This window comes from Homo sapiens, chromosome 9 (assembly GCF_000001405.40).
Source record: "Homo sapiens chromosome 9, GRCh38.p14 Primary Assembly".
NCBI lineage: Eukaryota > Metazoa > Chordata > Mammalia > Primates > Hominidae > Homo > Homo sapiens.
The window spans coordinates 62308066-62330922 of record NC_000009.12 but is presented as its reverse complement, the minus strand read 5'-3'; the positions used below and the strand labels follow the sequence as shown (position 1 = coordinate 62330922).

Below are 22857 nucleotides of genomic sequence, written 5' to 3'. Positions count from 1 at the left end.
ACAGTGTTAACATTAAAGTAGAGACTTAAGAATGACAAAACAGACTCTTCGTAGCAATAAGATATCAACATGACAGATAGCAGGCCTTGAAAGAAATCAAAGTATTTCACCACAAAAATACATTTCTTTGACATATTTTGAAATGGCCCTACAAGGCTGTTTCTGTGGGGAAAATCTCCATTTTGTAGAGAATCCCCTTCTCTTTCCAAGTCTTTTTCCTGATTTTTCCTGATTCCAAGTCCTTTTTCCTTTTTATGTCTGATAAAAATCATTTACAATCTATTCTCAGTGAAGCCTGCTACCTGCAAGCTTCATCTGCATAAGAACCTTGGTCTCTAAAACACCTTATCTTAACCCATACACTCCTGTCTATTGATTCCGGTCTTTAGATAAATTATTTTAGCCAGTTGTCAAATGCCAATCAGAAAATCTTCGAATTCACCTTTAACATGGAAGCCTTCACCCACCCCACCCCCACCTGCTTTGAGTTGTCTCACCTTTCCCAATTTTACCAATGTGTATCTTAGGTGTACTGATTGATGTCTTATGTCTCCCTCACATGTATAAATCCAAGCTGTAGCCCAACAACCTTGGCACATGTTCTTAGGATCTCCTGGGCTGTGTGACAGGCCGAGGTCACTCATATTTGCCTCAGAATAAATCTCTTCAAATATTTCACAGAGTTTGACTCTTTTCTTCAACATGCATTACCACTGTAGTAGCTCTGAAGTGGTTGAGTTGGAGGTAACCCACCAACAACCCTCCTCATGGAAATTTCTCTTGAATGAAAATATGGGAGGAGTAAATTCTTCACTGCCAAATACTATTTCAAATTCTTTCAAGCATAAGGTAAATTCATTATTTAACATAAAAGTCAATCAAGAGGTAAAAAGAGGTCACAGTTTGCTTACGTATTTTCTGGCACTTCTTTGCTATTGGCTGTGTCACTTTTACCCTTAACATTTCTGCAAAAATGTCTGCAGACATTTAGGGTCATCATATTCAGATACAACCTTACCCAGAAGACCAAGAAAGAGACACCAAGAGAAACATTTATCTTAAAAACTCTTAAGGTAATTTGCCCTGATTTGCCTTTGTACTGAATTGGGCCATATGCGTATTTTTGTTCTTATTTTTGGCAAAGAATCAGGCTATACTTAGAGTAATCACATCATACCTGAATCTGAAGACGAGACAGTAAACTTAGAGAAGTACTGAAGCCTTGGAAGCCTTGGATATATTGAATATGTTCTATTTTAGAAAGAAAAGGTGAGATAATGTATGCTGGCAGTCAACCAACAGCATATGCTCCTAATGAACAACTGGAGAGTCATTTAAGTTCAATGTTGGGGATTTTATTAGAAACTGTAAGATGAACACACAATTCATTTTCTCTTTCCTTGTAAATTTGGACAATATTTGCTATATTCGCCTATATTTTGGCATAGAAATTTAGGTTCTAAGTATATAGTAGTGATGTAGCCTTCTTACAGGGTCACATAGACCCAGAATTAATAATTTTTAACACTCTTTTTATTCTCTCTGGTTGGCTAACATTAAAACAATCCACAGAAAACCCCCAAGAGCTATGTATTGAGGATGGCAAAACCACAGATGGGAAAATAATAAATCTTTGAATGACCCTGCAGGAAATCACAGATAGCATTCCTATTATTTAAGCAAGCAATAACTTTTATTGTTTTAAGAGTTGGAGGTTTAATTTTTTCAGCATTACTGTTACCACAATTATTACAGGAAATGAAACCAGTAAAAAAAAAATAGAGGGAACAAGGTTTATTGACATCTATGAGGCATTTTCTTTCCCCTAATATTACATACTCTAGATTTTATTTCTGCACAAAAAATATTCTCTATGTCTAGCCTAAAGAACTATGTCTTATTCATATTTATACTCTTCATAGATCAAAAGTGTGCTTAAAATACTGTACATTTAATGAGTTATTTTTGAATGTAAGCAACTTTGAATTCATCTTTGCATTTTTAATCTTATGTTTCTATTAAATGTATTATTAAATTCTACTAACACTTTCCTCAAAATAATTCTCAATATTTTGGTTTTTAATTTTTTACTGCCTTTGCATTCTCCTGGCAGAGACCCATTTCACCTCTCCTATAGATTATTTCATAAAGATTTTATCGTCTGTATCATATATATTTACAATATTAAAAGTTATCTGTAGCACGCTCTCATTGTTGCTTATAGATTAGGTTTGCTTCTCTATGTACTACTCTGGTAGGCAGTGGTTAAATATACTGCTTTAAGCCTTTTCACAGTACCTTCTATAATATCATCATGCACAATTTTAGGCACACAGCAGAAAATCAATGAAACATATTTAATTGACTAAAAATTGAAAAACATTGGTATATATGTAGGACAGATACTGATATTTTTATAAGCCCAACTCTGAAATGGTGATGCATAAAAAGTTGATAATTCCTTTTAGCAGAAACTATTAATAGTCATTTTTCAACATAATGCAAAATATATTTGAGATTGATAAATATTTTAGAACTCAAGTGCAAGAAAGCCATTAAGGGAATCCCACAATTTTTGTTGTTTCTAAAACCTAATATAATTTAAGATTATGAACAGCCTTCTTTCTCAGAAGAAAAACATATCACCAACCCACCACATTAAAAAAATGCATTATTCCAATCAATCTTGTTAATATACCATAGAAATTGAATTTTTTAAAAAAATTCAGAACTTTAAAAATAAATACTAACCATAATAGCTCAATTAAAATTATATCTATATTCTTGGAGGTTTTCAAATGCCATATCTAAAAACAGGATATAGTAAGGTATATCCAGGGATAAACTAGCTGTTAAAAAATAATTGATTGAGACCTGTTATTATTGGCTAAGTAAACTTCTCTTACCTTCCAAAACATGTTCCATTATTTCATAAGATCTAGAAATGATATCAAGTTTGAAATTTGTTGAAATGTTTTCCTATTGACCTACTTATAAATGGGTTATTTACATATTCAGCGTAATTACTTGTGCTTAAAACTGTTTTCAAGATAAATTTGAACTATGTCATTGTTCATATAAAAGAAAGATGCTTCTTTTCAATTAATTTGTATTAGTTAATAATTCTACAAATTGTGTTTATTTCAATGGAGATTAAAGAATATAAAAAGAATAATGTTTCTGTTTTAGACTATACTTTATTAGTAAACCATTTGGGGGGTGGGGCAATGAGGATAAACTCCATCAAAGGAACATAAGTTAGAAAAGCTGTAACATAAACTTAGGTTATAAGTCTGAATTACCCTAGACAGTTAGTCTATGGAATATGAGACTGTATGCAGCCTCAGCTGGAAGCACTGCCCTTAAGCAAAGACCATGAAAGAGATGCTGAAATAATTATTCAGGCAGAAATTTAGTATAATATTTCTTTGGGAATGTTCTCCAATAGTTGGAAGTCAAAATAACAAGTAATTCTCACTTCCATTCTTTGTCTTCTCAATATACATCCCTATATCTTGCAAGGCATTTAGCAAATTAAAGTACATTTACCAGCCTCTTTGCACTTTGATGAGTCAATGTAACTAATTTTTGGACGATAACGTGTGAACAGAAGCAATATTTGCAGCATCTAAAAGAAATGTGTGTGACCTTTTACCCCTGTTACCATGCTTTAGAATTCATAGCTGTTTTCAGCTATTTTGTATATAAAATAAGCATATAAAAGCGACAAAATAAATCAACATCGTAGAGCTATCGTGACATCACTGGACTTCTCCTAAAACTTTTACATGAAAAATATGTGAATTATTTCAAGCTGCTCTACTTGTTTTTCATAGACTCTGTCATTAATTAATTTTTTATGTACCACTAAAAAGCATTTTAAAATGCCTCTAAACTATGGCACACTGCTAAATATTTTCTAGATGCCTCAAAAAAGTTTTTATATGCAGTAATTTTGTTTTACATACACATGCACACTTAACTGATTTCAAGTTTTTTCAACTTTCATATGAAATTGAAAGTTGAAAAGGCACATGAAATGTCTTTTTGAAATTCCTAACTCAATTTAATTTTTTTTTACATTTAGGTTTACCATACTGTTTTAACAAAATGCTCCGTATTTATTCTAATATTTTTAAAACTTTAGGAATAAATTAATATTTTGGATTGTTCTACAGTATTGTATCCTGAACTGGAACTTTTATTACTGATTTATTAATTGAAATATGAAATATGATATGCACATGTGAAAGACACAGATCTTGAGCATATAGCATTAAACATTTTTAGAACGTAAAATACTAATGTCATCACAACCTACATGAATATGAATTGAGTATTACTAGAATCCAGGAGTCTCTATTGTGAACCTCCAATCATTACTATAGGCAACCACTGTTCTTACTTTTATCTTTATAAATTACATTTGCTTGACATTGAACTTCATAGAAATTGAACCATACAATAGATATTAATTTCAATCTGGTTCAAAAAAACACAACCAACAGCGTGGGTGTCAGTGTGATATTCTGTGCTGCTTCTCAGCTGAATCAATGGTGCTGACAGCTGCAATAGCAACAGCAGTGTCTTCAGAAGTTTTACTGAGAGTTTGGAGTCCAGAGTTTCTGCCTAATGGCAGCTGCGCTCAAATAGGGCCAATGGTCAGTCTGGAATCATGGGACCCAGAATGCACCACCTTCCCCTACTCATTTTTCACAGTTAAGGATGGAAGTGGCTTCCTTCATTTGCTCATCATCTGGAGTAGCAGGCCCCTTTTGCTCTTTCAGTGTTTCTAACATTGTTGTAACCACGCCCCCAACCCCTGTATTATATTGTCTATGCTTTAAAAACTATATTGTGGACTTGAATAAAATTTATTTTCCCATTCCCGGTAAAAAATAATTGGGTCATTCTTTACTCATGTATCAATTCAAATTTCTAAGACTCTATTTATCTCTTCTCCTCAATAATGTTTCTTTTTTCTTTTGCTTTTTTTTAGACAGGGTCTTGTGCTCTCACCCAGGCTGGAGTGCAGTGGCTGGAACACAGCTCACTACAGCCTTGACCTCTTGAATTCAAGTGATCCTCACACTTCAGCCTCCAGAGTAGCTTTGATGACAGGTGTGTGCCACCAGGCCCAGCTACTTTTCTTTACTTTTTGTAGAGACATGGTCTTGCCATATTACCCAGGCTAGTCTCAGATCCCTGGGCTCAAGTATCCTCCTGCCTCCAACTCCCAAAGTGCTGGGATTATAGGCATAAGCCACCATGCCCAGCTAATGTTTTCTATTTACCATAGCTTTTCACATATATATGTTATTATATATGTAATATACATATATAATATAGTATGGATGTGTATATACTATATTATTAACAATTAGATCTAAAATATAGAAAGAATTTTAATACCTTTATTTTCTGTACCTTCATAGTTAATCTCATATTTTCCAAATCTGTTAATGTGGCACTGGTCAGTTATAGCTCCAAAGAATGAGCATCCACTTAATCTCATAACCAGGACCCAACCTGCAACATTAGTATTACAAATTAATTCCTAATTCCAGTCTCACTCTTTCATCACCAGTTCTATCTTTGCACACTTACTAATCCCAATTATTTTAAAGCAAGTTGCTTAACCTGCTGTGGCAGTTTTCCCCTCTCCTTCAACTTTCTCTCCCTTTTTTTTTCTCCTAATAATACCTGCCAAGTAAGAATCCCTTTCATTACATACATCAAATAGCCACTTCTTCCAACAATTTTATTCAACCTAAGTATTCAACCTAAGGGCTTAGATTCATGGTCTGTCCTTACAATGCCGTTCCATCTTTTTAAAGCTAATTGCAATGCACCTAGTCATTTTTATTGCAGCACTATGTATGATAGCCAAGATACAGAATAAGCCTAAGTGTCTGGCAACAGATGAATGCAAAAAGAAAATGCACTATCTGTATACAATGAAGTACTCTTTAGCCATAAAAAATAAAATCTTGCCATTTATGACAATATGGATGAATCTAGAGGACATCATGGTAAGTGAAATAAGCCAGACACAGACAGACAAGTACAGCATGATCTCACTCATAAGTGGAGTCTAAAAAAAAAAGAAAATACAAACATTTAAAAAAGTTAATAGCATAGAAGCAGAGAGTAGAAAAATGTTACCAGAGACTAAAGACAGGAGGACGAAAAGAAGGATGAGGAAACTTTGATTGGTGGTATAAAATTACAACTAGATAAGAGCAAAAAATTCTGGTGTTGTGTTGCACGTAGAGTAAGTATGGTTAACAGTGAAATATCGTATATTACAAAATAGCTTGAAGAGTTGTCTTCGAATGTTCTCACCACAAAGAAATGATAAATATGTAAGATAATAGATTCACTCTGAATGGATCATTATACAACATGGATAGGTATCCAGGTATGAAATTATACCCCATGAATATGTACAATTATTACATGTCAATTAATAAATAAATAATAAGATCACTAGATTTAATCGAGACTCTTATTGACTTGCTCTCATTTTAGAGTTTTAAAACTAGTCTGCCCTATTGCAAACTACCTATTTTTAAAACTACTCTTCTCCTGCACAAAAATTTCTCAAAGTCTCCTTTCTCCTGAAAGAAAAATGACCTATTTAATTTACAAATATTTCAAAAATTAGTACACAACATTTTATATATGAAAAGAATGCTGTAGACTGACTTGCAAATAACATTCTAAGATTCCCATTACCTTTAAGAGGAGTCAGCTGTCATTTTGGAAAAATTAAGATTTCAACAATTTTACACATATTTTGAAAATAATTTTGATAATGAAAAATGTTCAATCTTAAATCGTGTAAATAAGTAAATAGAGAGGTAAAATAAAGAGCTTGATGTTTATGTGATATTGAGAAAAAATCTTTTTTAAAAGTAAAATACAGATTAAAATACAACTTTGTGCTTTAACTGAAGGGTGTCCCTACTCCCTGATGTGTTTGAGACTGTCACAAACCTGAACCCATTTGGACAATACATCAAATAATCATTTTGCATCATTTCACTATTGGGGAAATGATAACTTCTTACATTAAATGAAAAAAAACTGAAAAAGTAGTATTACTTTGTCTTTTAAGTGGCAAGATAGGGTTGATATGATGCCGAAGTACAAACAGTAGGGACTAAGTGAGGATGGAGGATATATGAATAAATGTATCAAAAGTCAAGAGAAATGATAAAACAGACAATTCTGGGGAACAGTAGTAGAAGCTATGCATGGAATATGGTTAGACAGACAGTGATATTTACTTTTGAGTTTTGCTTATATATTTCTAACATTTCTTGATAGGACTGGCATTCTAACAGTTATTCTTATTGTTATAAATTCTTTTAAAAATACTTTTTCTCCAAACATCTCAGTTCAAATTATAGAGTTAAAGGAAACTATAGTAATAAAATAAAATATTAATTATTTCAAAAGAAAAAGAGAAAAATTTGTACACTTAATTTAAAATTGTTTTCAGTCTTATTTTTGCAAGCAATTTACCAATAGATTTGTAATGCACAGTAATGTTGAATGAGTATTGAAGCTATTGAAATACAGAAGTAAGTCAGTTTTTCATTATGCTGTGAGTGATGTCCTGAAACACATTAACTTGATATTTTATCTATTGTTTAATATCATTCCCCATGAATTACATATAATGGTAATAGATTAATATCTTTGGGAGTACTGTAAATAATTATATAATTCAGCCAGGAATTACCTTGTTCATTTGCTAACATTGTTATATTCTTTCAAAAGCAAATAGCAAAAATAATTTTCAACTGACATACATATGGAATACTTACTCTTCAACTATCTCAAAATGCCCAGATTTTCTCCATAACTTTCCTATTGATTTAATTATAGGCATTAGAAATGAGTATTCTAGTACAAGAATAAATAGTGTTGTCTCTCCTTCATCCCCCAGTACTCCTAAATATTTACTAAAAATCTCAATGCTAATCAATAGTGGAAGTATTTGGTGCCTAATGATGGCATTCCATTCCTTCCTTGAAGTCCAACACACAGAGTAATAGAAATCTCATGAATGTGATTGTGTGAGGTTGCTCATAATACTTGGATCTATAGAGAGAATCACTTAACAGACATTAGCTGAATCAGAAACTACTTCTCATTTCATTGAGTTCTATGTAGTCCCCAACCTTTGTGGCACCAGGGACTGGTTTTGTGGAAGACAATATTTCCACGGACAGGGGAGCAGAGGATGGTTTCAGGATTGTAATGGTTAATAATAGGTGTCAACTTAATTGGATTGAAGGATGCCTAGATAATTGGTAAAGAATAGTTTCTGGGTGTGTCAGTGAGGGTGTTGCTGGAGGAGATTAACATTTGAGTCGGACTGGGAGAGGAAGACCGATCTTCAATGTGGGTGGACACCATCCAATTGACTGTCAGCTTGGCTAGAACAAAGCTGGTGGAAGAAGGTGGGATAAGCTGACTTAATGAGTCTTCTGGCTTTCATCATTGCGCTGTGCTGGATGCTTCCTGCCCTTGGACATCAGATTCCAGGTTCTTTAGGCTTTGAACACTTGAACTTACAGCAGTGGTTTTCCAGGGGCTTTCAGGCCCTTGGCCACAGACTAAATGTTGCACTGCCAGCTTTCCTACTTTTGAGGCTTTTGTAGCTGAACTAAGCCTTTGTTGGCTTCCTTGCCCCTCAGCTTGCAGACAGCCTATCATGGGACTTCACCTTGTGATCATATAGTCAATTCTCATTAATAAACTCCTTTTCATATATACATATATCTTATAAGTTCTGTCCCTCTGGAGAACCCTGACTAATACAGGCATGAAACTGTTCCACCTCAGATCATCGGGCATTAGATTCTCATGAGGTATGCACAACCTAGATCCCTTGCATGCTCAGTTCATAATAGGGTTCACATTCCTATAAGAATCTAATGCTGTAGCTGATTCGACAGGAGGCAGAGCTCAGGTGGTAATGCTCACTCACCTGCCGCTCACCTCCTGCTGTATGATCTGATTCCTAACAAGCCATAGCTCATAACCAAGGGTTGAGGACCACTGTGTTAAAAGATAAACTAAGACACAATAAAATTTTAAATATGTTATTTACACAATGATTTATGACTCAGGCAGCTCCAAACCATAAAAGTGGCTTAAGAGCACCACTGAGGGATCACAGGGGGAGGCTTTTAGAGGACAGGCACAGAAGAAAACTAAAGATAATATTTGACTATTTATAGTTGTACAGTTATTTGTACCTTATTTGGTACCAAAGTTGTACGTTATTAGGTCTATCCCACTGGAAAGTCTTCAGTTGTATGATTATGTGTGTTGGCTACTTCTGATTGGTTGAACTTAAGTTCTGTTTTTCTTTAATATAGAAATTGATAATAGCTCAAGTTTCCCTTATATCTGTAGATCAAACAAGGTTTAGATCACTTATGATGCCTAACTGGTTTTGTCTGCTCAGAAATTCTTCAGGCCTGGACTCCATTTTAATTTACTTTAATGATTGTTACTTTAAATTTGGATTAAACAGTGGATTCATATGTACTGAGTGAAAAAAAAATGGAAATAGATGTTATAAAATTTATTTGAAATCATTCAGCCAGGATGTTTTAAACAGCATAAATTAGCAGAATTACCAAAAACACATTTTGAAAAAACCTTGAAGCAATTTTAATGTATTGCAAAATGTGAAGGAGACTAGTAGGACAAAAACTTAAAGGTTGAGTTTGAGATACGATGCAGGGTTTTTTGCTCCTTAGCCCAGCTAGGCCTAAGTTCTGAAGAAGTAGGCACATGGACGCTCAAAGAGTAAGTGTAGTAGAATTTATTTAGTGAAAGGAAAGCTCTCAGCAAAGAGAGGGGTCCTGACATCAAGTTCTTGGTTGCCCCCTTAACAGTTGAATACAAGGGCATTTTTTTTCTTGAGACAGAGCCTCACTCTGTTGCCAAGGCTGGAGTGCAATGGCGTGATCTTGGCTCACTATACCCTCTGCCTTCCAGGTTCAAGTGATTCTCCTGCCTCAGCCTCCTGAGTAGCTGGGATTATTGGCACATGTCACCAGGCCCGGATAATTTTTGTAGTTTTAGTAGAGATGGGATTTACCATGTTGGTCAGGCTGGTCTCCAACTCCTGCTCTAGTGATCTGCCCGCCTCTGCCTCCCGAAGTGTTCGGATTACAGGTGTGAGCTACTGCACCCGGCAACAAGGACATTTTTATACAAGCTGATAGGGCTGTGAATTCCTGGTTGTATGAGACATGAATTCCTGGTTGCTCCACTCCACCTTTCCAGTGAGTTATGTGGGCCCTTAGTCTGTGCCTCTCCATATTGATTTATTTCCTTTAATGCACATATGTTAAGGAACGAAATTTTCCACTATGGGCATGTTTAGGCAAGCTCCCTTAGCAAGTACGCTTATCCGCACAAAATATTTGGTATAAACACCTGGGGGGTGGGTAAGAGGTTCTCCAGGGGACCCTTTCCTGACTGTCTCCCTAAAGCAAGTTGGCTGACTCCTTTCATTCCTCCCTTCAGGAGTGGAGACCCCAAATTCTGTTGGGGAAAGTGTACAACGACTGCTCTTAACTGCTTCCTGCTGACAAGGGGTGCTGTTTTGGGAAAGTGGCAGTTAAGGCTCCTCCTGAGGTCAGTTTAAGGGTCCCCAAAGAGAACGGTGTGTTCATGAGTGGTTCTGTTTGCATCACCATTTGATGTTGAACGGCCTTTAAGTGAGAAGAAACAATTTGGGTTATTAGAAGACATATTCAAAATGAAACAAAGGGATAAGGACAGCTCAAAACAAAACAAAACAAAACAAAATCTCAAGGCTGCCAATACAGCCAGATAACTCGTGGCTATAGTTATGCCTGCTAAGGTTTGTATTCATGGGGCTTGGCTTTGATTAGCTCCCTTGGTCTTATTTTCCCAAACAAAGAAATCTCTGGGTTATGGGCACCTATTTACTCCGATCACCTGGAAGGATTTGCAGGATAATTGTTCAGAATTAAAATATTGATCCAGATTTTTTATATTACTCGTCCCTTTGGTTCTTTTGAGCTGCAGCCGTACATTGCTGGTTGGTCCACAGGAACAAGCAGGGTAGTCTAAAATGTAGGCAAAAACTTAAAAACAACTAATGGGATTATAATGTAATGACAAATGTAGAATACGTTTTGAAACATAATTTCTCTCTCTCCAGTCCTCATTTTTGTCAAAAACAAATCATGATAGGACTCAGTTGTTTGAAAAAATAAACTTTAGCCTTATACTTGTCTTATTTGCATAAAGTGCAAAAAGAATAATTATTTTTCCCATAGGCTTTTAAATTGGCTTTGATGGAACTCTGTTCCATAAGGCATCTCAGTTAAGACCTTTTAAGGCCAAGCCCAGCCAAGGGTTTCCACCCTCAAATATCTACAAGTTTGGTAAATCATTCTCTTCTTGATGTCCCAAGAACAAGCTTTTTAACAGGCTCCTAAGCCTGTTAAAAAGTGACATGCTTTACTCCCCATGGGTTAGGAACCTTGTACAAGGACTGTGTTGACAAGGTATGTAGCCAGTTTTCCCAAGGGACTTTTATTGGCAAGTCCAGCTTAATGACTTAAAGGAACATATACCCTTCCAGTAAAAGCCTTGGTAAAACCCCCAGTTTCTTCAATTGTGTCCTGTTGCAAAAGAAAATGTATTCTTATTGCACTGATGAAAATAACTGAATTGCCATAAATTAAATATTCTCACAAATAGTTTCCAAATTCTGGCAAAGCCAGGCAGAGAGAAACAAACATCCTTCAAATTTTGTTCACAGGCGTATAGTTTACTCAATTATTAAAGGTTTTAAATAGGTCAAAATAAGTATCCTTGACTCAGAAAAATAAAGCAAGGATCACCAAAGTTTTAAGCAAAAAGGTTAAAAATAATACTTGTTTTCTATTAGTTCAATCCATTCTGTTCTCTTGTTCTGCTTGATATTCATGAACATTTCAGTTCTTCATGAGTACTGTATTTTTTTCAATGTCATAATCTCCAGAGTTAATGGAATCTTGCATTTGAGAACACTTGTCAAAATCCTATAGCTGATTATAAATCATCTTTTGAGTAGGATCAAAACAAGACATTTGTCTGTGAATGATGAAATGTCCAGGGTAGTTACTGTCAAGAATACAATTGACAAAGAAATTTAGTTATTTCTAGGGTTTACAATAACTAAACATAATAACCTTAATTATGATTGATAGCATATACTCAGACATTAGAATTTTAGAAATCTCATATAATTTTGAAACATATTAATATTATTCACTAAAATATAACCTAAAGCAGATTAAATACAACTTTGGAAATACCATATAACTAAACATTTCAAAAAACCCAGTTTTCTTCTGTTTTGGATGTTCCAGGGACCAGGAAAGACAATTTTAAAACTGAAGTTTGATTTTGGGAAGACTGTTAATTACGTTAGAGGTTCAAAGCACTTGATACTATAAAATAGAATTCCAAGTTACCACATGTCATTTATTTTAGCCAAAATGATGACTCAAACATTTTAAAACAACGCAAAAGCATATTCACAGGAAGAGGGAAAATTTAGCTTTCCAAACAATCTGTCGTTAATTTTACAGGGAAATGCTGTTCAAGTGAAAGCCTAATTTCATCCTTGCATTAGTCTACTGTTGATGTCAACCCTAATTTTTTTAATGAAAACTTATAGATAATTATATCTAATCTTATCTAGTTTGACCATGAGGTGAGATTTTTTTTAAACTTTTATAACCCTTTACAAATTGTTGTTAAAGAGCAGGTCAGCGCCTTTAGAAAACCTTGTTGTGCTTTTATTTCAATGCTCAATTTACAAAAACAAAATACTTTTTTGAAATTAGCCAATATGTTCACACAATTTCTTTTGCAAGATTAAGTTTTACAAACTTTTCACCATTTGTTTAAACCTTCAGCTTTATCTTATCTAATTCAAAACAATCCTTTAACCCAAGGCAAAAATTTACATTTTCATGCATTCTTATAATCTTTTACTAAAAACATATTTTACTTTCCTTACTTACCTTATATGTAAATCTATTTTCATTGTCTCGATTACAGATTATTATGGTAACTCCTAGCAATTTTTAACTTTAATGTAAAACCTGGCAAGTTGCTTTAATTATGTAGTAGGCATAAATAAAGTCTGATTCCTTCCTGCATAATTAAGGGTGTGGTTAATTCCATATGTCCCTGGACTTATTAATTGTGAAGCAGGCAAATTGAATAGTGTATTAGTCAATTTTCATGCTGCAGATAAAGACAATCTTGAGACTGGGCAATTTACAAAAGAAAGAGGTTTAATTGGACTTACAGTTCCACATGGCTGAGGAGGCCTCACAATCATAGCAGAAGGCAAGGGGGAGCAAGTGACATCTTATGTGGATGGTGGCAAACCAAAAAAGAGAGCTTGTGCAGAGAAACTCTCATTTTTAAAACCATCAGATCCATGAAACCCATTACTATCATGCGAACAGCATAAAAAGACCCACCCTCATGATTCAATCATCTCCCACTGGGTCCCTGCCACAACACATGGAAATTACGGGAGCTACAAGATGAGATTTGGGTGGAGACACAGAGCCAAACTTCATCAAATAGTTCTTAAAAGCCAAAGAAGCAGTTAATAACTTTGAAGCATTTAGCTAACCTAGCATTTGACCTACATGATTCAGCCCACATATTTACATTTTAAAGACATTTGTATTTTACCAATTATTTTTAAAACAGCCTTTATTTCTTAAAGATTATAGTCATGTGAACTGAAAAGGTATTACAGCTTTTATTTTTCTTCAAAAAATATTTGATCTAAGTGCTTATTTTCCTAGAGCTTTTTTATATAAACATCACGCCCATAAGAAATATAAAATTACACAGATGAACAAAAGCAAATTCAGTACTTGTAAGATTTTTCATTTGCCAATCTTCTGAATAGATTATTGGCCTCTGGGTGAAGCCCTTCAAGAGCAGGGTCTAGGACAGCATACAGTTTCTAGGGCCTAATAAACAGGCATAGCTGGAAGACAGAGACAGATTTTGAGAAGGATCTATCCACTTTTAATTCCTGGAGTTTCGTGAGGAAAACAGAGGGTGTTTTTTCCCCAAAATGGGGTCTGCGGCACCTTCTTTGTTTTTTCCCAGGAGCCCCGGGCTATCAGAAGTTATCTTAGAGCCTCTCATGTATGCACTGAATGACAAGACAAAATGGGAAAAAAAAAATCATTCAACAGAGAAAGAACCTTTTTCCAGAAAAACAAGATCCATGCAGAGAAAAATTTAAAGGCCTTTAAATATACCTATAACTTGGATATCCACTTTGAATTCAGCTGTGCTCTAAGAAAATCGTTTCATATCTATTACCCAACTTTAGCCATGCCGAGCAGCCAATATTTCTGGCTTTTGAACTTTATTAAAAATAACCTCACAGGTGAAACCAACAAGCCTCAACTAAGGTTATGACTTAACTGTAAGTGTAAAAGTTATTTTCAAAGAGGTGCTAAGCAGTTTTTACAGAATCTAAGATCTTTAAAGTTGGTTCAGACAAAGGAAGATTTAAGAAAGGAAGCTAAAGTTGTTTATAGAGGGGAAGAGAATCAGCAAATGGTAAAAGTCACACAGATATTGGCCAAAATATACTCATTCCCTAAGCCGGGATTAAACCCAGGCCACCATTGTAAAATGGCAGAGGCCAAAAGAAAGTATTATCAAGTGGTTACAAGGTCAAGCTCCTAAGGACAAAAAACAAGATGAAGAACTGCAGCAAGGTTTGTTACTGACCAGTTTGCCAGGCTGGTTTGATCAGCAAACTTTTGGGGTCCTAGGCCTGCATTCTATCCTAAGGTACCCCTCTTTATGACAGAACTATACAGAAAGACACACAAAGCACACTACATTGGCTACAGCTTAAGACTAGCCTCATAAATCCTTTTTTTCTATTTATCAGAACTTCAGAGAGTATATAAACAGTGATTTAAACAGGGATTTTATCATTTATTCAACTGGTTTGCACAGGGAGAAGGAGGCCAGAAGTCTGACTGGTAAGAACTATTTTTTTTTTTTTTTTTTTTTTTTTTTGAGACAGAGTCTCCCTCTGTCCCCAGGCTGGAGTGCAGTGGTGTGATCTCCGCTCACTGCAAGCTCCATCTCCCAGGTTCACGCCATTCTCCTGCCTCAGCCTCCGGAGTAGCTGGGACTACAGGTGCCCGCTACCACGCCCGGCTAATTTTTTGTTGTTGTTGTCGTTGTTATTTTTAGTAGAGATGGGGTTTCACCGTGTCAGCCAGGATGGTCTCCATCTCCCGACCTCATGATCCGCCTGCCTTGGCCTCCCAAAATGCTGGGATTACAGGCGTGAGCCACTGCACCCGGCCCTGGTAAGAACTTTTACCCTTTTGCTGGTGTACCAGGCTTCTGAGTTGCCCTTTTTCATGCTCAGTTTTGAGCCAAGCAGTTTAAGGTTTGGAGAAATTAACTTTTCCCAGTTTAAGAGATGCATCCAAAGGGAGTGTCCTGTGGTACAGCGACACAATGACCCACCCACAAAGAGAGGACAGAGGAGGAAAAAGGAGAAAGGAGGTGTTTTTCCAGAAGAGTCCTAGTGATTCAGGAGGCAATCAAGAGAAATATGGGCTGCAGATGATTGGTTACTCACCTAAGAAGAGGGGAGCAAGGCATCCCTAGTTTCTTCTTTTTCCTAGTAAATACCTGAGGTACATGAGGGAGAGGAGAAAAGTGTCCTCTTTCTTTCTTCTGTTCTTATATCCCTGAGTCCTGGTGATCTTGGCAGGTTACCACCCATGGGTGCCAGTGCAGCTTTCACCTATGTTAACAGGGGGCTTACAGGGTGCGAGTTATCCACCATTACCCATGCGCTGCTTGTCCCACTGTTGTCGATAACTTTTGAGTTCTCTGGATTTCATACATGCCGTGGATACTAGAATGACCTCTATCCACGAGATGGAAGGGGGCCTAATCGGCAGCAATGAGTCATGCTAACCTAAAGCTTTGGAGCTGGGTCTTCCTTAAACAAGGGAGAGAAAAGGCTGTCTTGGGAATTGGGGTCCTGGCCTAATAAGAAAAAACAAAAACAAAAACCAACAAAAAACCTCTCATAAAAGTTAACTCCTTACAAAGTGGAGAAAAGAAAAAAAAATAAAATAAAACAGCTTAAGTGCAGGGTGGGGAAGATGCCTGGAGGAGAAACCTTTTATTCTTATGCAAATGAGTTCCTCCAATAGGGAGAGAACATTTTAATTGCTGTCTCCTCCTTTCTGGCTCAGCCAGGGGAGGAAAGACACTGTGGGTGCATGGGGAGAGGGAAGAGTGAGCAGGAAAAGCTGGCCACCTAGCCAAGTGGGGCCCTTGGGCTATGTGCCCCAGACGGGAGGGGAGGGGGTTGGGAGTTGCCACTCTCCCATTTGTCTCACATGTGTACCTGTGGCCATTGGAGGTTGGGGTAAGGGACATGTCTCTAAAAACGGAGGGAGAGCACATTGTTCTGAATTGTATAGAATTTATTAAGTTAAAGGAAAGCTCTCAGCAAAGAGAGGAGTCCTGAAAGTAGGTTCCCGGTTGCCCTCTTCACAGGTGAATCAAAGGCATTTTTATATAAGCTGATGGGGCTGAGTTCCCTATTTGTATAAGGCGTGAATTCCTGTAGGCTCCACTGCATCCTTCCAGAGTGCATGCAGACCCTTAGTCTGAGACATTCCATATTGATTTATTTTTCTTACTGCCCACGTGTTAAGAAACAAAATTTTCCACTGCGGGCATGTTTAGGCAAGCCCCCGGAGCAAGTACCCTTATGTGCACAAAACATCTGGTATAAACACTTGTGGAGCAGATAGGAGGTTCTCTGGGGGACCCTTCCCTTAGTGTCTGCCTAAAGCAAGCTGGCTAACTTTTCAGAAAGAGACAGAGAAAATGAAGTAGCTACCAAAGTATTCTGGGTCTACAAGTGATATTATTTTCAACAAGTATTCAAATGCCATTCTAGTCTAAACTAATTCATTATAAATCAGCTAATATTAAGTAAATATTTTACAAATTAAAAACTAGTTACAAAAGGTAGAGACCTCAAAGAAAGGCAGAAATGAGGCAAATGGGGAAAAATTATGGTGACTTAAAGCCTATATATTGTGATCTGGAGAATTAGAATTTAATTTGTCTATACAAAGTAGGTCATGATCCTGATAAGTTTAGCAATTAGAGTATTTATAAAAAGTAAGAGCTAAATAATTTGTTTCAGGGATGCACTTTTATTTCAATTATCTAGACCTGAAATTATATTTTTTTGAGATCGTTCAGGAAGAAGAAATTACATGAGGAGAACTTTCTAATCAGTATGCTTAGTGTAAATATATCTGATGAGTTCATAAGTCTGTTTCATTTATTATTCTTCAGTATAGGTCTGTAGCATGACACAAACAATTCCTGATGACTTCAGCTACCTTTTTAAGGAAGGTAGACTTGCTCCATCCCCTATCTTCTATTTTGCATCTGAAAGAGGATCATACTCCTGTTTAAGTCAACTTTATTAATGTTTTTCAAAATATTTCTTCTCTTGCCAATATAAAATAATGAAATTGTAGTAAAATGGGGATTGTCTTCCTCAAGATGAGTAATTTTTCATGAACAATTTATTTAATTATTTCAATAATTATTCAAAAATGATTTCAAATTATTTCAACAATTTATCTTATGAACATTTATTTCATTATTTATTCACACCATCAAATAATATTTTACATTGAGTCCAAATTTTTTGCATTGCTGTTCATGTCAGGTTTATATTGGAATTAATTCTCTATGACCTCCTTTTTAAGCACTGCTAAATAGATAGTAATCTTTCTTTCTATAACAGTTGAGTTTAAATTGCTTTTCTTAATTTTCTCTGACAGAGAACATTATTTTTTATTGTTGTAAACAAGCTATATTCTACATATTTAATTATTTGGAATTTGATTTGTGTATATTTTTCAGTGGAAGCTAACTTCTTCCTAATGTCTCCATCTACATTTCATATTTATTCATCCATTCACATATTCAACAAAATTTGAGAATCTGTTTTTGGGCTTTTAATACTCATCTTATTCATTTTACTATTTATGTTTTTATTTCTTTATTTATTTAGAAACTGGTTCTCACTTAGTTGCCCACGTTAGAGTGTAGTGATGCCATCATAGCTCATGGCAGCCTCAAACTCCTGGGCTCAAGTTTGTTAATTTTATTTTAAATGTCCACACAGTGTTCTCAGTCAGAAACAGATTTCTTAATAATGTGTGTTGGCTGCTCCTTTTCCCAGTTCTTATCTTTGGACAGTATAAAGAGATCCAGATCATCCTAGTGAGAGGCCAGACTCTCTGAAAGCAAGAAGTTAAGAACAATGGTTTTTTTCCTTGTCTTTGTTTTTATACTTATAATAGGACGGAAACGGCTGTTTTTCTGTCCTTCTAAGAGGATATCTTCTTTATTCCAAACTTTTGGAATGTTGTAAAATCTCTCCTGGAACCAAATAACCCTGTATCTCCAAGTTTTTATGACCTATAGCTGTCTCCAAATTCTGGAACATCATATCTTTTGACATATGAATACAAAAACCTAGTCTTCCTCTTACCCTAGTACTTAACCTAGGAACCTAGTAATCTAAGGATTTTAAAAATTTGACCCTCTTAGGGGAGTAAAAGAAGTTTTCCTATTGTTGCAAATCAGAGAAATTAACTGGACAAAGGGCTACAGATCTAATTCTCTCAGTGTGTGAAGAGTCTCAAGAAGCTAGTGCTTTGAGAGAATCCATGAGAAACCCAGGGACCTTTAATATCTCCTCATTATTATTTGCATAGCACACTACCAGGGGAGATGGAGAATTAAAATAATAATATATTTTAATAACTTTAAGTTCTCTTAAATCATATGGTTTTTTAAGGATAAAAAAAAATCCTGGATATCTATGGCTATACTTAGACATATGTAATATACATATATAACACAATAACTTTTGGGGAACAAGTGGTTTTTGGTTACAGAGTGGTAAAGTCTGAGATTTTGGTGCCCTTGTCACCCAAGTAGTGTACATTGTACCCAATATGTAGTGTTTTATCCCTCACCCACCTCCTACTCTCCCCCTTAGTGGTCTCCAATGTCCATTATACCACTCTGTATGCATACCCATGGCTTAGCTACCACTTAAAAGTGAGAATATATGATATTTGGTTTTCCATTCCTGAGTTACTTCACTTAGAATAATGGCCTCCAGCTCCAGTTGGAGTTGCTGCAAATGACATTATTTCATTCTTTTTAGGGCTGAGTAGTATGTCATGGTGTATGTTTACCACATTTCTTTATCCACTCATTGGTTGAGGAGCACTTAGGTTGGTTCTGTATCTTTGTAATTGTGAATTGTACTGCAATAAACATATACATGCAGGTGTATTTTTGATACAATGACTTTTTTTAATTTGAGTAGTTAACCAGTAGTGGGATTGATGGACTGAATGCTAGATCTACTTTTAGTTATTTCAAAAATCTCCATAATGCTTTACATAAAGGATGTACTAATTTACATTCCCACCAGCAATGTATAAGCATGCCCTTTTCACCACATTCATGCCAAAATCTGTTTCTTTGTTTTTTTTGACTTTTTAATAATGGCTATTATGCTGGGAAAAGATGGTATCTCACTGTGGTTTTAATTTGCATTTCTTTGATGATTAGTGACATTGAGAATTTTTTATATGTTTGTTGGTCATTTGTATATCTTCTTTTGAGAAATGTCTATTCATGTAATTTTTTTTCACTTTCTGTTGGGATTATTTTTTCTTGCTGATTTGTTTTCCTTGTTAATTCTAGATATTAATTATTTGCTAGATGCATACTTTGTAAACATTTTCTTCTATTCTCTGAGTTATCTGTTTACTGTGATGATTATTTCTTTTGCTGTGAAGGTTTTTAGTTTACTTATGTCCTTTTTATTTATTTTTGCTTTTGTTGCATTTACTTTTGGAGTCTTAGTCATAAAGTTTTGGCTTAGGTAAATATCCAGATGTGTTTTTCTTAGTTTTTTTCCAGAATTTTTATGGTTTTGGGTTTTATATTTAAGTCTGATCCATCTTCTAATTTTTGTAGATGGTGAGAAAGAGTGATCCAGTTTCATTCTTCTACATGTGGCTGTCTTGTTTTCCCTGCATCATTTATTGAATAGGGTGTCCTTTCCTATTTATGTTTTTGAATGCTTTGTGGAGGATCAGTTGGTTGTATACATTTGGCTTTATTTCTGGTTTCTCTATTCCTTTCCTTTGGTTTATTTATCTACCTTTATACCAGTACCATGCATGCTGTTTTGATTACTAAAACCTTGTATTATAACTTGAAGTCTCTTAAAACTATGCCTCTGGATTTGTTCTTTTTGCTTAGAGTTGCTTTTTTAATTCAAGCTTATTTCTGGTTTCATAAGAATTTAGAATTGCTTTCTCTAATTCTATGAAAAATGATGTCAGTATTTTGATAGGAAGTGCATTGAATCTGTAGATTGCTTTTAGCAGTAAGGTCATTTTCACAAATATGATTCTTCTTATCCATGAGCATGGGATGTATTTCCATTTGTTTATATCATCTCTAATTTATTTCAGCAGTTTTTGTAGCTCTCCTTATGGAGATCTTTCACTTATTTGGTTAAGTGTATTTCAATTTTTTTTCTGCTGCTATTGTAAAAGAAATTGAGTTCTTGATTTGATTCTCAGCTTGATCATTGTTGGTGCTATGCAGTAGTACTAATTTGTGTACATTCATTTTGTAACCTAAGATTTTATGAATTCATTCATCAAATAGAAGAGTCTTTTGGTGGAATTCTTAGGCTTATCTAAGTATATGCTTAAATCATCAGCAAACAGAGATAATTTGTCTTCCTCTTTTCCAGCTTGGATGCCCTTTATTTCTTCCTCTTGCTTGATTGCTCTGGGTAGGACTTCCAGTACTATGTTAAGTAGAAGTGGTGAAAATGGGCATCCTTAACTTGTTCTAGCCCTCAGTGGGAAGACTTTCAACTTTTCCCCATTCAATATGATGTTGGCCATGGGTTTGTCATATATAGCTTTTATTATTTTGAGATATGTTTATTCTATGTCTAGTTTGTTTAGGGTTTTTATCATAAAGCAATGCTGGATTTTACTGAATGTTTTTATGCATCTATTGAGATGATCATACGTATTTGGTTTTTAATTCTGTTTATAAAATACATCACATTTATTACCTTGCGTATGTTGAGTCATCCTTGCCTCCCTGGGATGAGACTCACTTGATTATAGTGAATTGTCTTTTTGATATGCTTTTGGATTTGATTTGCCAGTATCTGTTAAGAATTTTTGCGTATGTCTTTATCAGAGATGTTCATTTGTAGTTTTCTTTTTTTATGATATGCCTTTTTCTGGTTTTGGTATCAGGGTGATACTGGCTTCATAGAATGAGTTAAGGAGGATTCCCTTTTTCTCAGTCTTTTAGAGTAGTTTCAGTAGGCTTGGTACCAGTTCTTCTTTGAATGTCTGATAGAATTTGGCTGTGATCTGTCTGGGTTTTTTAGTCGGCATTTTTTTTTTCTTACTTATACAATCTCACTGCTTGTTATTGGTCTGTAAGGATACCTATTTCTTCCTGGTTTAAGCTGGTAGGGTTGTATGTTTCCTGGAATCTATCTATTTTCTTTACTTTTATTTTTATGTGCATAGAGGTTACATAGTAGTCTCAAATGATCTTTTATATTTCTGTGATATTGGTTAAAATGTTTCCATTTTCATTTCTAATTGAGCTAATTTAAACTTCTATCTTCTTAATTGTTCTAACTAATGTTCTAACTAATTGTTAGAACAATTGTTAATCGTTCTAATTGTTAGAACAATTGTTAATCATTCTAATTGTTAGAACAATTGTTAATTGTTCTAACAATCTTAATTCTTCTAACTAATGATCTATTTTATTTCTATTTTCAAATAACCAAATTTTGTTTCATTAAACTTTTGTATTTTTATTTCAATTTCATTTAGTTCTGCTGTAATCTTTCTTTTCTTCTCCTGGCTTTAAGTTTGATTTGTTGTTTCTATAGTTTCTTGAGGTATGACATTATGTTGCGAATTTGTAATCTTTCAGACTTTTTTACGTAGGTGTTCAGTGCTAGAAACTTTCCTTTTAGCATTGCTTTTGCTATGTCCCAGAGGTTTTGATAACTTGTGTCACTATAATCATCCATTTAAAGAATTTTTTAATTTCTTTCTTCATTTCATTGTTAACCCAGTAATCATTAAGAAGCAGATTGTTCAATTTCCAGGTAATTGTATAGTTTTAAGGGTTCCTTTTGGAGCTCATTTCTAGTTTTATTTCACTGTGACCTGAGAAGATACTTTATATAATTTTGACTTTTTAAAATTTATTGAGATTTGTTTTTGTGGCCTATCCTATGGTCTGTCTTGGAGGCTGTTCTATGTGTTGATGAGAAGAATGTGAATTCTGCGGTTTTTGGGTACAATGTTCTGTAAACGTCTGTTAGGTCCATTTCTTCTGGACTGCAACTTAAGTCCAGTGTTTTTTTGTTTTTGTTGTTGTTGACTTCCTGCTTCAGTGATCTGTCTAGTGCTGTCAGTGGAGTGTTAGAGTTCCTCACTATTATTGTGTTGCTGTCTATTCCTTTTCTTAGGTCTAGTAGTAATTGTTTTATAAATGTAGGAGCTCCAGTGTTATGTGCATACTTATGTAGAATTATTATATTTTGTTGAATTAATTATTTAATTATTATGTAATGACTTTCTTTGGTTT

The 22857-nt window shown here is 35.0% G+C and overlaps 1 long non-coding RNA gene across 10 annotated transcripts in view; it reads left to right on the top strand.

Annotated features, from left to right (window-relative positions):
• Window positions 1-22857, top strand: part of LOC105379263 (uncharacterized) — a 104681-nt gene that overhangs the window by 23522 nt on the left and 58302 nt on the right. Inside the window, exon 1 of one of the 10 annotated variants that reach the window (XR_001746494.2) lies at window positions 5080-5121. The exons of 5 other annotated variants lie outside the window; for them this stretch is intronic. This is a non-coding gene — a long non-coding RNA (uncharacterized LOC105379263). Of the gene's footprint in view, window positions 1-5079; window positions 5122-10152; window positions 10672-15312; window positions 15432-17783; window positions 22373-22857 lie in introns of those variants that run through there. 4 more of the 10 variants (XR_001746495.2, XR_007061530.1, XR_001746496.2 and 1 more) reach the window with 4 other exon arrangements.